The 14502-nt window shown below is 36.9% G+C and overlaps 1 protein-coding gene across 4 annotated transcripts in view; it reads left to right on the forward strand.

Annotated features, from left to right (window-relative positions):
- Window positions 1–14502, forward strand: part of CLCN3 (chloride voltage-gated channel 3) — a 103096-nt gene that overhangs the window by 5793 nt on the left and 82801 nt on the right. For 3 of the 4 annotated variants that reach the window (NM_173872.4, NM_001829.4, NM_001243372.2), the window contains exon 2: window positions 9543–9718. In NM_173872.4, coding sequence (NP_776297.2) covers window positions 9559–9718 — 160 coding nt within the window. In that variant the 5' untranslated portion in view covers window positions 9543–9558. Of the gene's footprint in view, window positions 1–9542; window positions 9719–12226; window positions 12373–14502 lie in introns of those variants that run through there. The other variant, XM_047449584.1, reaches the window with a different exon arrangement.

Here is a 14502-nt window from a genome sequence, read left to right on the forward strand (position 1 = left end):
ATTACATAGGCACAGTCAACAACTGTGTAGAAATGTGATTGGACAAAAAGAGTATGACCTAACAGCACTAATAGACCCAGTGGGGAAACCCAGCAAGGCCTGCCTGTCCAACTTCTTCTGCCTGTCTGCAGCATTCCTTCTTCCAGGGTCTGGGGCAAGCTCCCTTCTAAAGGGAAGGTCTTATGACCCACAGTCAGACAGGCTGTGGAAGATTAGAGTTCTGCCTTGGGTTGGTGGAAAGGAGGGCAGGAAAAGGTCAGCAAGAGAAGAGATTCTGTTTTCTGAGGTTTAATGTGCCCCAACATTATACAAAAGACTGTAGTAAGGCCAGGCACAGTGGCTTACCTCTGTAATCCCATCACTTTGGAAGGCCGATGTGGGCGGATCACTTGAGGCCAGGAGTTCGAGACCAGCCTGGCCAACATAGTGAAATCCTGTCTCTACTTATATAAAATTAAATTTAATATTAAAAAAGAATGTAATAAGAGCTGTGGGACTTATAAACCAGGAACCATGGATGAAAACCAATATATATCATATCACTCTTAATTCAGTTATGCCCTATCTTACGTTTAGAATTGTTCAGACGTCTAGTCTCATCTCCAGCTTCTCTATCTGTAGTCCTTCAGTCTCTTACCCTTCTTATCTGGCTTTCACACTGCTGCTAGTGTTGGCTTACTAAAATTCATGTCTGATCATGTGATTTCTCTAAAGTTCTTCATGGTTTCCCCTGTGTATAGATGAGTATGTAAGTTTCTTAGTGTGACACATGAACCCCTCCCCTTCATGATCTGGCCTATGTCTGCCTCTGTAGCTACTCTCTGGTCCTTTACCTCTTACATAAGCTACCCAAGCAGGTTTTACTATGATGCTTTTATGCTGTTGCGCATACTTTTTTTGTGTGTGTGCCTGTATTGACTTTTTACCTCACAGCCCAATTAATTTATCCTAATTCTTCAATATTTTGCTAAAATATTCCCTCTATTAAGTGCTTACGGACTGTGTGCCAGCCAGCTTGCTTACTTTTCTCAGGTTTATCAAATACATTGTATGTACCTCTCCTGTGATGTGTATCATACCATATTGTTGTTACTTGTTGATGTCTGTCACCTTCACTGCCTTAGGAACAGAAACCATATCTTATTCATTACCCTAGCATCTGGCTTTGTGCCTGGTACATGCTAAGTGTGCAGTCAATGATTATCAAATAAATTAATAAATGACTCCAAAAACTAGCTTTGAATACTAGATAAATGGTGATCCTGTAAACTGAGATAGGAAAAGTAGGAGGACAAGGACTTTTGGGGCAAATATTTATTTAGTTTAGGTCTTGTTGAGTTTTAGCTCTTTTACAACATCAAGGAAGACATGTACCATTTATTTCTTATACATTTGTTATTTATTCATACAATATAATTAACCCAACAAGATTTTTTTTAGATATGGACAAGATTATTCTAAAATTTACATGAAAAGGCAATGAAAAAGAAGAATAAGGTGTGAAAGATCAATCTACTCAATTTCAAGACTTATTATGTAGTTACAGTAATCAAGACTGTGTGGTATGGGCATAGATAAAGACACAGATCCGTGGAACAGAACAGAGAACTCTGAAATAGATCCACATAAATATACCTAGTTTTTGTCAAAAGCATGAAAACAGTTCAACGGAGGTAGATAACTTTTTCAACAGTTGGTACTGGAGCAATTAGACATCCATACACTGTCCCATTCCCAACCCCCCAATAAAGGAACCTCAACCTATGTCTCATACCCTGTGCATGCACAAATTAAAATGGATCACAGACTGAAATATAAAAATATTAAACTATAAAATTTTAGGAAAAATAGAAGAAAATTTTGGGGAGGTAGGGTTAGGCATATGTTTCTTTGACTTGCCACCAAAAGAATACTCCTTAAAGGCAAAATTGATAAATTAAACTTCATCAAAATTAAGTATTTTTGCTCTGTTATAGACCCTGTTAAAAAGATGAAAAGATAAACTAGAGAGGGGAGAAAATATTTGCAGACAACACAACTGACAAATAACTAGTATCTGTAATATATAAAGAACTCTTAAAAGTCAACAGTATGAAAGCAGTCCAGCTAGAAAACGGACAAAAGACATAGTCATTTCACTGAAGAGGATTACACATATAGCAAATGAGCACATAAAAAATGTTCAGCATCATTACCCATTAGGGAGATGCAGATTAAAGCAACAAGATACTACCGTACATCTATCAGAATAGCTAAAATAAGAAATAGTGACAACACCAAATGCTGGCAACGAGGTCAAGAAACTGGATCACTCATACATTGTTGGTAGAAATGTACAATGGTACAGCCACTCTGGAAAACAATTTGGCAGTTTCTTTAAAAAACAAATATGTGACTACTGTATGACCCAACTATTGTACTCTGACATTTAGCCCAAAGAAATAAAGGCTATTCATTTTCAAAAACCTGTACATGCATGTTTGTAGCAGCTTTATTCATAGTCACCAAAACATAGAAACAAGCCAGATGTTCTTCAGTGGGTGAATGGTTAAACAAACTGTGGCATATCTGTTATCATAGACTACTCTGATAAAAAGGAAGGAACTATTGACACATGTAACACCCTGGATGAATCTCCAGAGAATTGTGCTGAGAACAAAGAGTTAATCCCCATATCATATCATTTATATAACATTCTTGAACTGGCAAAATTATTGAAGTAGAAAACAGACTATGGGTTGCTAGGGGTTAAGGAGGGATGGCCATAAAACGGCAACATGAGAGATACCTGTGGTGATGGAATATTCTGTATCTTGACTGTATCAATGTCCTTATCTTGATTGTGATATTGTACTATAGTTTTGCGAGATGTTCCCATTAATGGAAACTGGGTAAAAGATATACAGGATTTTTTTCTGTATTATTTATTGTAACTACATGTGGAACCACAATTATCTCAAAATAAAAATTTAATTAAAAAAATTGAACATCTACTGTGACACATTTTTTTTTTTTGAGGCAGATCTTGCTCAGTTGCCCAGGCTGGAGTGCAGTGAGTGGTGTGATCTCAGCTCACTGCAACCTCTGCCTCCTGGGCTCAAGTGATTCTTCTGCCTCGGCCTCCTGAGTAGCTGGGATTACAGGCACTCACCACTATGCCCGGCTAATTTTTGTATTTTTAGTAGAGACGGGGTTTCACCATGTTGGCCATGCTGGTCTTGAACTCCTGACCTCAGGTGATCTGCCCTCCTGGGCCTCTTAAAGTGCCGAGATTACAGCTGTGAGCCACTGCGCCTGGTCTAATGTGACATATTTTGCTAACCATTGAGTATACAGTGTTGAGCAAAAATTGAGTGTCAGACCTCATGACACGTTCTACAATGGCAGACAGATATTAAATAATCACAGAAATAAATTTAATATTCAACTGTGGTAAGTGCTGTAAAAGAGAGCTATAAGAACTAATAATGAGAAAATTTGATCCAGATAGTAAGTGGGTCAGCGAAGCTTTGCTTACTAACTGCATGACTTTGGGCGAGTTATTTACATGCTTTGTGCCTCAGTTCCTCATTTTTAGTGGGGACAATAATAGCACCTATTCTTTAAGGTTGTCATATATTTAATATGAATATTAAATGAATGAATTTGTAAAGGGCTTAAGATATTGCCTAGCATATAGTAAGCTCTGGTTAAGAGTTTGTTAAATAAAGGGATACTTGATGTAAGACCTTGTAAGAAAAATGAGTAGGAGAGTTAATTCTTTTTTATTTTTACAATTTCAACTTTTATTTTAGATGTGCAGGTTTATTCCATGGGTATACAGCATGATGCTGCGGTTTGGGGTACAGTTGTACCCATTACCCAGGAAGTGGGTATAGTGCTCAACAGTTTTTCAGCCCTTGCTTCCTTCCCTACATTGCCCGCGCTGGTAGTCCTCAGTGACTATTGTTGCCATCTGTACATCTGTGAGTACCTGATGTTAAAGCTCCCACTTAAAATGAGAACATGCTGTATTTGGTTTTCTGTTACTGTGTTAATTCACTTAGGATAATGGTCTCCAGCAGCATCCCCATTGCTGCAAAGGACTTGATTTTATTCTTTTTATGGCTGTGTAGTGTTCCATGGTGTATATGTACCATATTTTCTTTTCTTTCCTTTTTTTATTTTTATTTTTTTTTGAGACAGAGTCTTGTTCTGTCGCCCAGGCTGGAGTGCAGTGGCACGATCTTGGCTCACTGCAAACTCTGCCTTCTAGGTTCAAGCAATTCTCCTGCCTCAGCCTCCCGAGTAGCTGGAATTACAGACACCTGCCATCACTCCCGGCTAATTTTTGTATTTTTTTAGTACAGGGTTTCACCATGTTGGCCAGGTTGGTCTTGAACTTCTGACCTCAGGTGATCCGCCAGCCTTGGCCTCCCAAAGTGCTGGGATTACAGGCGTGAGCCACCGCACCCAGCCTGTACCATATTTTCTTTATCCAGTCCACTATTGATGAGCACCTAGGTTGATTCTGTGTTTTTGCTATTGTGGGTAGTGCTGTGATGAACATATAAGCACATGTGTCTTTTATGTAGAACAATTTATTTTCTTTTGGGTATATACCCAGTAATGGCATTGCTGGGTCAAATGGTATTTCTGTTTTAAGTTCTTTGATAAATCTCCAAACTGCTTTCCACAGGGGCTGAGCCAATTTACATTCCCACTGACAGTGTATAAGCATTCCATAGCCTTGCCAGCATCTGTTGTTTTTTGGCTTTTTAATAATAGCCATCCTGACTGGTGTGAGATGGTGTTTCATTGTGGTTTTGATTTCCATTTCTCTAATGATTAGTGACGTTGGGCATTTTTTCATCTGCTTGTTGGACAGTTGTATATCTTAATTTGAGAAGTATCTGTTCATGTCCTTGCCTACTTTTTTTGTTTGTTTGTTGGAGACGGAGTCTTGCTCTGTTGTCGCCCAGGCTGGAGTGCAGTGGCGCAATCTCGGCTCACTGCAAGCTCCGCCTCCTGGTTTCACGCCATTCTCCTGCCCCAGCCTCCGGAGTAGCTGGGACTACAGGCGCCCACCACCACGCCCGGCTAATTTTTTTTGTATTTTTAGTAGAGACGGGGTTTCACCATGTTAGCCAGGATGGTCTTGATCTCCTGACCTCGTGATCCGCCCACCTAGGCCTCCCAAAGTGCTGGGGTTACAGGCGTGAGCCACCGCGCCCGGCCGTCTTTGCCCACTTTTTAATAATGTTGTTTTTTGCTTGTTGAATTGTTTGCTTCTTGTAGATTGTAGATATTAGACCTTTGTCAGACGTTAGCTAGATTAACAGAGAAAGAGACAAGATCCAAATCACCACACAATCAGAAACAACAAAGGTGACATTACAACCAATCCCATGGAAATACAAAAGATCCCCAGAGACTATTATGAACACATCTGTAAACACGAACTAGAAAATCTAGAGGAAATGGGTAAATTCTGGAAACAGCCTCCCAAGATTAAATCAGGATGAAATTGAAATCCTGAACAGACCAATATCGAGTTCCAAAATGGAATCGGTAATAAAAAATCTACCAACCAGAAAAGCCCTGGACCAGATGTATTCATAGCTGAATTCTATCAGATGTACAAAGAAAGCTGGTACCAATTCTACTGAAACGACTCCAAAAAATGAGGAGGGGCTCCTCCTTAACTCATTCCAGCTTCACCCCGATACCAAAACCTGGCAAAGACACAATGAAAAAGGAAAAGTACAGGTCAATATCCCTGATGAACATAGATGTAAAAACCTTCAACAAAATATTAAGAGAGTGAGTTGTTAAAGAGAAGAGGGTATGATCCAGGCAGAGGGAGCAACAAAGGCCTTGGGGCAGGAGTCAGGAAAGAGCTTGATAGGACTGAGAGATTGAAAGATCAGTGAGTCTAGAGTACTTCAGGAAGTACATACTTCTCAAAGTAAGATATACAACTGGCCAACAAGCATGTGAAAAAATGCTCAACATCACTAATGATTAGCGAAATGGAAATCAAAACCACAGTGAGACACCATCTCACGCCAGTCAGAATGGCTATTAAAAGAAGCTGGGGCCAGGCGCGGTGGCTCAGGCCTGTAATACCAGCAATTTGGGAGGCCGAGGCGGGCGGATCACGAGGTCAGGAGATTGAGACCATGGTGAAACCCCGTCTCTACTAAAAACACAAAAAATTAGCCGGGCGCAGTGGCGGGCGCCTGTAGTCCCAGGTACTCGGGAGGCTGAGGCAGAAGAATGGCCTGAACCCAGGAGGCGGAGTTTGCAGTGAGCAGCGATCGCGCCACTGCACTCCAGCCTGGGTGACAGAGCGAGACTCCATCTCAAAAAAAAAAAAAAAAAAAAAAAAAAGTGCTGGGGAACTAGCAGGGGTTGGGCTGCATAGAACTTTTTCTGCTATATTAAAGAGTTTGTTTCTTAAGGGTAGCAGGAAATGATTAAGAGATGTTAACATGGAATGGAGAGAGATTATGAGCAAACTTACTTTTTGGAAAAAAAAACTGTGCTGGCTGCAGTGTCATCAGATTCGAAGGAAGCAAAATAATTGCACGTAGATAATATAGGAATTTATTAGGTAAACGAGGCCTTATTACTGGAAGTTTTCATAGTTTATCTCTGATTATTATTATTACTTTGTTTGAGACAGAGTCTCACTCTGTTTCCCAGGCTGGAGTGCAGTGGCATAATCTCAGCTCACTGCAACTGCCGCCTCTCTGGCTCAAGCGATTTTCATGCCTCAGGCTCCTTAGTAGCTGGGGTTACAGGCGGCTGCCACCACGCCCGGCTAATTTTTTATTTTTAATAGAGATGGGGTTCACCACCATGGCCAGGTGGGTCTTGAGCTCTTGACCTCAAGCGATCCAGCTGCCTCGGCCTCCCAAAGTGCTGGAACTACAGGCATGCGCCACCACACCCAGCTTATCTCTAATTTTTATAATTTTGTAAGAATATATTTACAAGCTACTGTGTATCTATTACAATGTTTTGAAATGATTATAAGTATATTTTTGGTGATTAAAATGGAAAAGGTGACTTTGCATTATTTTTTTTAAATATGTAAAATTTCATCTGCTGTGTTAGAGTCTAAATAGCCTTTTGTGCCCAAGCCTGGGAATTGGGTTTAGAACCTGAAAATATTTAACACTAGTGTTCAGATTTCCTTCTGTTATATGTCCTTTATGCTACTATAGAAATTTGAATATTTTATAGCAGTGCTGTTCAATAAAAGTGTTAGTGCTGCAAATGCAAGCCACATAGGTAATTTTTAATTTTTCAGTAGCCACATTAAAAAGGTAAAAAGAAAGTGGTGAGATTCATTTCAAATATATTTTATTTAACCCAATGGATCTAAAATATTTCAACATGTAATCAGTATAAAATTTCTAGTCAAATATTTGACATCCTTTTTAAATATTAAGTCTTAGAAATCTGGTAGGTATTTTACACTTAGAGCACATTTCAGTTTGGACCAGCCATGTTTCAATGGCTCGATAGCCGTATGTATGCTGGCTGCTGCATCAGTCAGTACAGCTCTATAGGTTTCTGGGTTAATACGTGGAATAGTTTTTTTTTTTTATCTTAAGTTATCAAATTTATAGAAATAGAAACCCATGCAGGCCTGGGTTTAATTGGTTTATTTGGAGCAGAGTTGCATGCTTGTGTTACAAAGAATGATCTGCAGGCTAGGTGTCTCAAAGGTATTATGAAATTAATTTTTTTAACGGAAATAGTTAAATTTCCAGTTACCACTTACGATTTTTGAGAGACTTTTAGGGATAAAATGGAGGAGATATATTGGAATTTGCTGATTGAAGTATTAACACATAAAAAGGTTTAATGATTTTACAGAGATTTCTTAGTGCTGTGTAGCCTCTAGCTAATGTTCACTGAAATGTTATCATATGTATTAAGCCCTTCTATTCTGTAAAGAAATAAAAACAGAGTGTCTGTGTTCTTCACAAAAATCTTAGCATACATGCTTTGATACATCAAAATTAAATGATTCTTAAGCTATTAATGTTTATGTTTTTAAAAGCCTTTTGGTAATTTTCTCAAAAGCCACATAATATTTAATTTGTTTGCCTCTATGGAACTGCAGATTTCTTAGTATGAACAACTACTTTCATACTTTCCTATTGTTTTAATTAATATACTCTAACAAATCTCATCTCAGTATAATATGCCATCTTTGGTAGCGATAACTATAAAACATTCATAAAGTTGCAAAGCAGCAAGTATTTACATTTTTCTTTTTTAATTTGCTAATTTTGGTTATTCCTCCAAGAACAGTTTAATACTCTTGGAGAGAGGATTTTTTTTTAAATTGAAAACTGAATACATTTCTCTTTTTGACCTCATTAATTGAATAGTTTGACATTTGTTGTTCTTACACTGTGCCAGTCATTATGCCAGATGTGGAGAGCAGAGGCATGCTCTCAAGGAGCTCTCAAAACTTCACCTTTTTCAAAGTGATCTTTAAGTTAGGAAATTTATATAATCTGTTTAAAAGATATTTATTGTCAGTAATAGTCTAGTTTTCTAAAACTTCATAAATACCTTTTTGTTATTAAAGCTCTTTGAGGTTATCTTTCCATTTGCAGAAGGAAAATTTACTGAGTAGAAGAGATTGTCTTAAAACACTCCACGTCTTCAGTGTTAGAATTCACTGCTAGAATTCATCACTGGAATTGAACTGTGCTTACTTTAGTCTTCATCTGTCATTTTCTGTGTGTACTTACTAGGCCATATCTGCTAAGTCTTGTTTTACAAGGCTTACTGGTTTGACTGCTTTTATGACTGCATCTTTCAAGTCCCACCCATGCAGCTTAAAAGTCTATTACTAATGTCCCCATACTTATGTTGAACTCTTATTTTGGTGTTGAGTAAGTAAGTGGAGGTATTTAAAAATCAAACTAGTTAGGAGTAATACAGATTTAAGAATATGGAGAGTAAGAACAATGAAAACATACCCTTTTTTGATTTGTTGCCTGTTACCATTTTATCAGTGGCTAATGTTTGACCATAGGCTCTGAAGATTTAAATTTTAAAAGGATGAAAGGAGAATGAAATAAATATTTTAAAATTTTTTAATTGTAGTATTTATTTTTAAAATCAGGTTGTACTTACACCTCTTACACCTGATAAAATATTCAAAAGGGGCAGTCTGTCTTTCAAACCTTGTACTTCAGCCATCTTGTTCCCTACCCTTTGGGCAACTTACTTGGAACTCTCTCCTGAGACAAATCTATACATACACAAGCAAAAATGTAAATATACGTTACATTTTTCAACTTAACAATTGGAGATCTACCTGGAGAAATTCTTCATTCTTTTTTACAACTGTATAATGAGAATAAAATTATTACCTCACCCCAAAATACTTAATAAAGGTAACTATTGTTACAGTGAATACGCTTAATTTTTTTTAGCACATAGATCATAACTTTCCTTTTGTGATGTTAAACTAGATGATTTTTATTGTATGTTTGAAAAATGTTAAAACTACTTTTTCCCCCCCACAGATAATCAGACAGCTAAATGGAGTCTGAGCAGCTGTTCCATAGAGGCTACTATAGAAACAGCTACAACAGTATAACAAGTGCAAGTAGTGATGAGGAACTTTTAGATGGAGCAGGTGTTATTATGGACTTTCAAACATCTGAAGATGACAATTTATTAGATGGTGACACTGCAGTTGGTAAGTTCAGCATGACAGCCTAATGTTTGTATTCATGAATATCCACTAATAAATATGTACACTATTTTATTGAGGTTGAATTTTTCAGTAACTTTAAAAATTTGAGATCAAATTTACATAACATAAACTTAACCATTGTAAAGTGTGGAACTGAGTGGCATTTAGCAGGTTCACAGTGTTGTGCAACTACCGTTTCTATCTCGTTCCAAACATTCTCACCACCCCAAAAGAAACTACTACATTTAAGGGTAAGCTTTTAAATATAATGTAATACAGAGAGGTGTGCAATCATCACATCTTAGTGTGGAAATTGATGAATTCCTACAAAGTGAACATTTATTATATAACTACTCCTCAATCAAGAAGTAAAACATTACCAGTAGTTTCAGAATCCTTCCTTGTTCCACCTTCAGTTTCAATATTATTTTGATTTCTATCTAGATTAATTTTGCAAGTATTTAAACTTTATGTATGTGGAATTCATACTGTGTACTCTTTTATGTCTGTGGCTTTTACTTACGTTTCAAAATCATCTATATTGTCGTGTATAGCAATAGTTAACGTATTTTCATTGTTGGTGTAGTGTCCCATTGTGTAAACATGCTTCAATTTATTTAGTTATTCTACACTGATATTTCATTATTTGGTTTTTTTTTTTTTTTTCATATTTTGGCTATTGCTAACAGTGCCACTATGAATTGTCATGTGCATATGTTTTAGTGCACATTATGTACACAGTTCTGTATGATTTATATCACAGAATGGAATGCTTAGATCATAGAATATGTATATCTCAGCATTATCAGATACTATCAGAGATACTTCCATTTCTTTTTTTTTTGTCAATTACCCTATTCAAAGATACTACCAAAGTGGATATAGCATGTACATTTCTACTAGCAATGTGTGAGAATACTAGTTACTCCACATCTTCACCTATACATGATAACAGTTTTTAAAAAATTGGCTATTCCAGTGTGGTTGCAGTAGTCTCTCATTTTGGTTTCAATTTATGTTTACTTGATGATTTATGAGTTTAAATGCCTTTTTGTGTGTTTATTGGCTTTTTAGATTGCCTCTTTTAAAGCACCTATTCAGTCCTTTTCCCTGTTTTATAGGAGTTCATTATGCATTCTGATTATGAATCCTTTTTCAGATACATGTACGGTATTGCAGTTATCTTCTCTCATTCTGTGGTATTTTTTTTACTCTCTTAAAGGAATCTTTTGGTGAAGATATCATCAATTCTAATGAAATCCAGCTAATCTTTTCCTTTATTCTAAGCCAGTCTCAGTCACTTATGCCTGCAATCCCAGCACTTTGGAAGGCCGAGGCAGGAGGATTGCTCGAGGCCAGGAGTTTGAGACCAACCTGGGCAACAAAGTGAGACTCTGTCTCTACAATAAAAATGGAAAAGAAAAAAAATTAGTTTTGATTGCACCACTGCACTCCTGCTAGGCACCAGAGCAAAACCCCGTCTCAAAAACCAAACAAACACCACCACCACCAACAACAACAACAAAAACTTTTTCTTTTCCTTTATTCTTAGTGTTTTTTTTTGTTCTGTTTAACAAGTCTTCCCATACCTCAAGGTCACAAAGATATTCTCCTGTTTTGTTCTAGAAGTTTTATTTTTGTGTATTCACATTTAGATCTGCCTACCTGCAGTTAATTTTTTAAATATGATGTGGGTTAAGAGTTCAGATTCATTTTTTTCCCATATGAATAACTAGTTGACCCCACACCATTTGTTGGAAAAAACTTTGCTTTTTCTAATGTACTACAGTGACATCTTTGTCATGTATCAAGTGGCTATATTTTTGTAGATCTGTTTCTGGACTTTCTACTGTGTTACATTGAAATAATTGTCTTATCCATATGCCAATGCCCAGGATATATATGAGTTTTGTTTTTTAAATTTGTTTTTGTCTTTTATTGATTTATAGTCTGTTTGCATTTAACATAATCACCAATATGTTTGGTTTCAGACCATCCTCTATTTGTTTTCTGTTTGTCACATCTGTTCTTTCCTCTCCCCTTATTTCTGTTACCTTCAAAACCTTGTTATATGTTCTCTTACTTTTTGTTCAGTAGGCTACCCTAGAGATTATTACATGTATCCTTGATTTATTAGTTCTAGGCATTGGTACTTTTACCACTTCATGGAAAATGCAGGGACTTCAGAATACTTTACCTCTTTTTACCCCTTTCTGCTTCCTTACCATTTTCTCACCAGGAAATAGGTCAAGAATGAAAATGGTTGAGACTATTGGGTTTTACCTTTCTTTGTTTCACTTCTTTTCAGAATATTGACACTTCAAGTTCTGGCTCCCTTGGATATTTACTGGTTTAAAATACAATATTTTGCTGTTATTTGTCATTTGCTGTCTTTATCACAGATTTTTTTTCTAATTTTAATGACAAAATTATAAACAAGAAAAATACATATATTCATAATTTGAAACAGGTGAAATTAATAGCATACCCATTTTTTCTGTGTTTAAATAGCTCTTTAGCCCTTTATGTGAGGCAGAAAATTAACTCCAGGAAGTAGAAAGATATAGGAAGAGCTGACTCCTTCCACCTTCCCACGTTGCCGTCAAGTGCTGGTGATGTCTTTACTCATGGTCTTCAACAGGAGAGAGTGCCAAGCAGTAAGGATGGGGCAAGGGCATAAAAAGGATCTATTTGTGTTGCTCTTTTATCAGGGAGGATAATTTTTCTAGAACCTTATCATTAGACTTCCTTATGTGTCACTGGCCATAATTGGGTCACATGCCCACCCCAAGACTGATAACTGGCAAAGGGGAATGAAATTACTGATTGGTTAGGACAATTATGATTCCTTCTCTGAAATTAGGCACTTTAACATGCAAACAAGAGGAAGGCCCAATTAGCAAGTATAAAGTTGGAATGACTATAGCGTAGGCAACCATTGGTGTTTTCTTTTCTTTTTTTGGAGACAGAGTCTCGCTCTTTTGCCTAGTCTGGAGTGCGGTGGTACAATGATGGCTAACTACAGCCTTTACCTCCTGGGCTCAAGAGATACTTGTGCCTCAGCCTTCTGAGTAGCTAGGACCACAGTTGCACACCACTAGACCCAGCTAATTTTTTAAAATTTTTTGTAACAATGGGGTCTCACTGTGTTGCCCAGGCTGGTTTTGAACTTTTAGGTTCGAACGATCCTCTTGCCTTGGCCTCCCAAAGTGCTGGGATTACAGGCATGAGCCACTGTGCCCAGTCTATTGGTAGTTTATATAAAGAGTCTGTCCTCAAAGTTAGTGTAGTTGAAGGTATAAGTTGTGGAGTAGCAGTCAAAAATAACTGTGTGAGTTTTAAATTCGGTGGTACAGATTCCAAATGTTACATGTCACCAAAAAAAGATATCATTTTGATATCCCTTTAGAATTGGGAAGGTTGTAAAGGGAAGATAATGCATGAAGATCCAGCAATAGGGATAATTATTATATATGTGAAACAGTGAATGTCCTTTTTTAAGACAGTGAATATTCTTTCTTTCAACATAGCTGATATTCTTCTGTTAACAGTAGCAGGGAGGGGAATGTCTTGGAAGAAGTTGGAGCCTCACATTAGGTCTCTCACTATGGGTTAAGGCAGATTTCAGAGGAAAAAACTTATTTCTGTTTCTGCTCAGTATCTGGGGAGTATGGAAGTGGTTAGTAAGTCAAGCAGTAATTCTTCGTGACTCCATATCTTTTTAGCATACCAAAAAATAACTATTACCAGAAGGTACTGATAGTGTTTTTTTGAATATGTGTTGAATGAAAATCCATGATGTTCAGTGGCTTTCAAGTTGGTGACCTGAATTTACATCCTGGTTCTGTCACTTATTCTCTCTCTAACTTTTGGCAAGTCACATAGCCTGTTTATACTTCAGTTTATTCCCACGTACAACATAGTAGTAAACTCCTAAATAATAAAGTCTTTAAATGATTGCTCTGAGAATTAAATGCATATAGAGATCTTAACAAATAATGCATATAGAATCCTTAGCAGTGTGACTGGCTTATGGTAAGGTAAGGACTCACTAAATAGTAGCTGTTTCTGTTTTCTTCTAGATTACTTTCCCTTTGGATATGTTAGACTCTGTACCCCCAACGTAAGCAGTTTTCTTTTATGTTCATGTTCAAATGAGATGTCAGTAACATCTCTACTAGTATTAATGAAAAGCTGTAGCTCTAGAACTCAAATATGACATCTGGATTAGGATTTAGCTTGTCAGAGATAAACTGCTTTGGAATCTACTGACTTCAGTAGATATCTGTTGCATAGCCCTTGCTTTGAAAGTAACTATGTGTACTTAATAATCTCAAAAATGTAATCAATCTGCTCAGAGTGAGTGCTAAACAATCTAGAGTACACTGATTAAAAAATAGAAGTTATTCTGTATAATGATGACTAGTAGTATCAGTCAGAAATGTCAGCTAGCAAAAAGCTGAAAAAGTAGGCCTGAAATGTGTTTATATTAGGTATATCTAATTTGAATGAGTCATTTTGGTCAATAATTCAGATTCCATGGAAAATGCAAAATTTTTTTATTGCAAGTAACAGGAAGGGAGAGCCAAGATTTTGTTGCCAGAGTTGTATTCATTAAAGAGAACCATATGGCTCTTGACTCATTGAAAATGAAGCACATGACTGTTCATGAGTGCAGCTTTAGAATTATTCTTATAATAGATAGTACTATCTTCACTTGAAGTAAGAGAAGTTATTGAGATTGACTGATGGGGTAAAAACTGTGATCAGCCATGTTTAAGCAAATT

This window comes from Homo sapiens, chromosome 4 (genome assembly GCF_000001405.40).
Source record: "Homo sapiens chromosome 4, GRCh38.p14 Primary Assembly".
Lineage (NCBI taxonomy): Eukaryota > Metazoa > Chordata > Mammalia > Primates > Hominidae > Homo > Homo sapiens.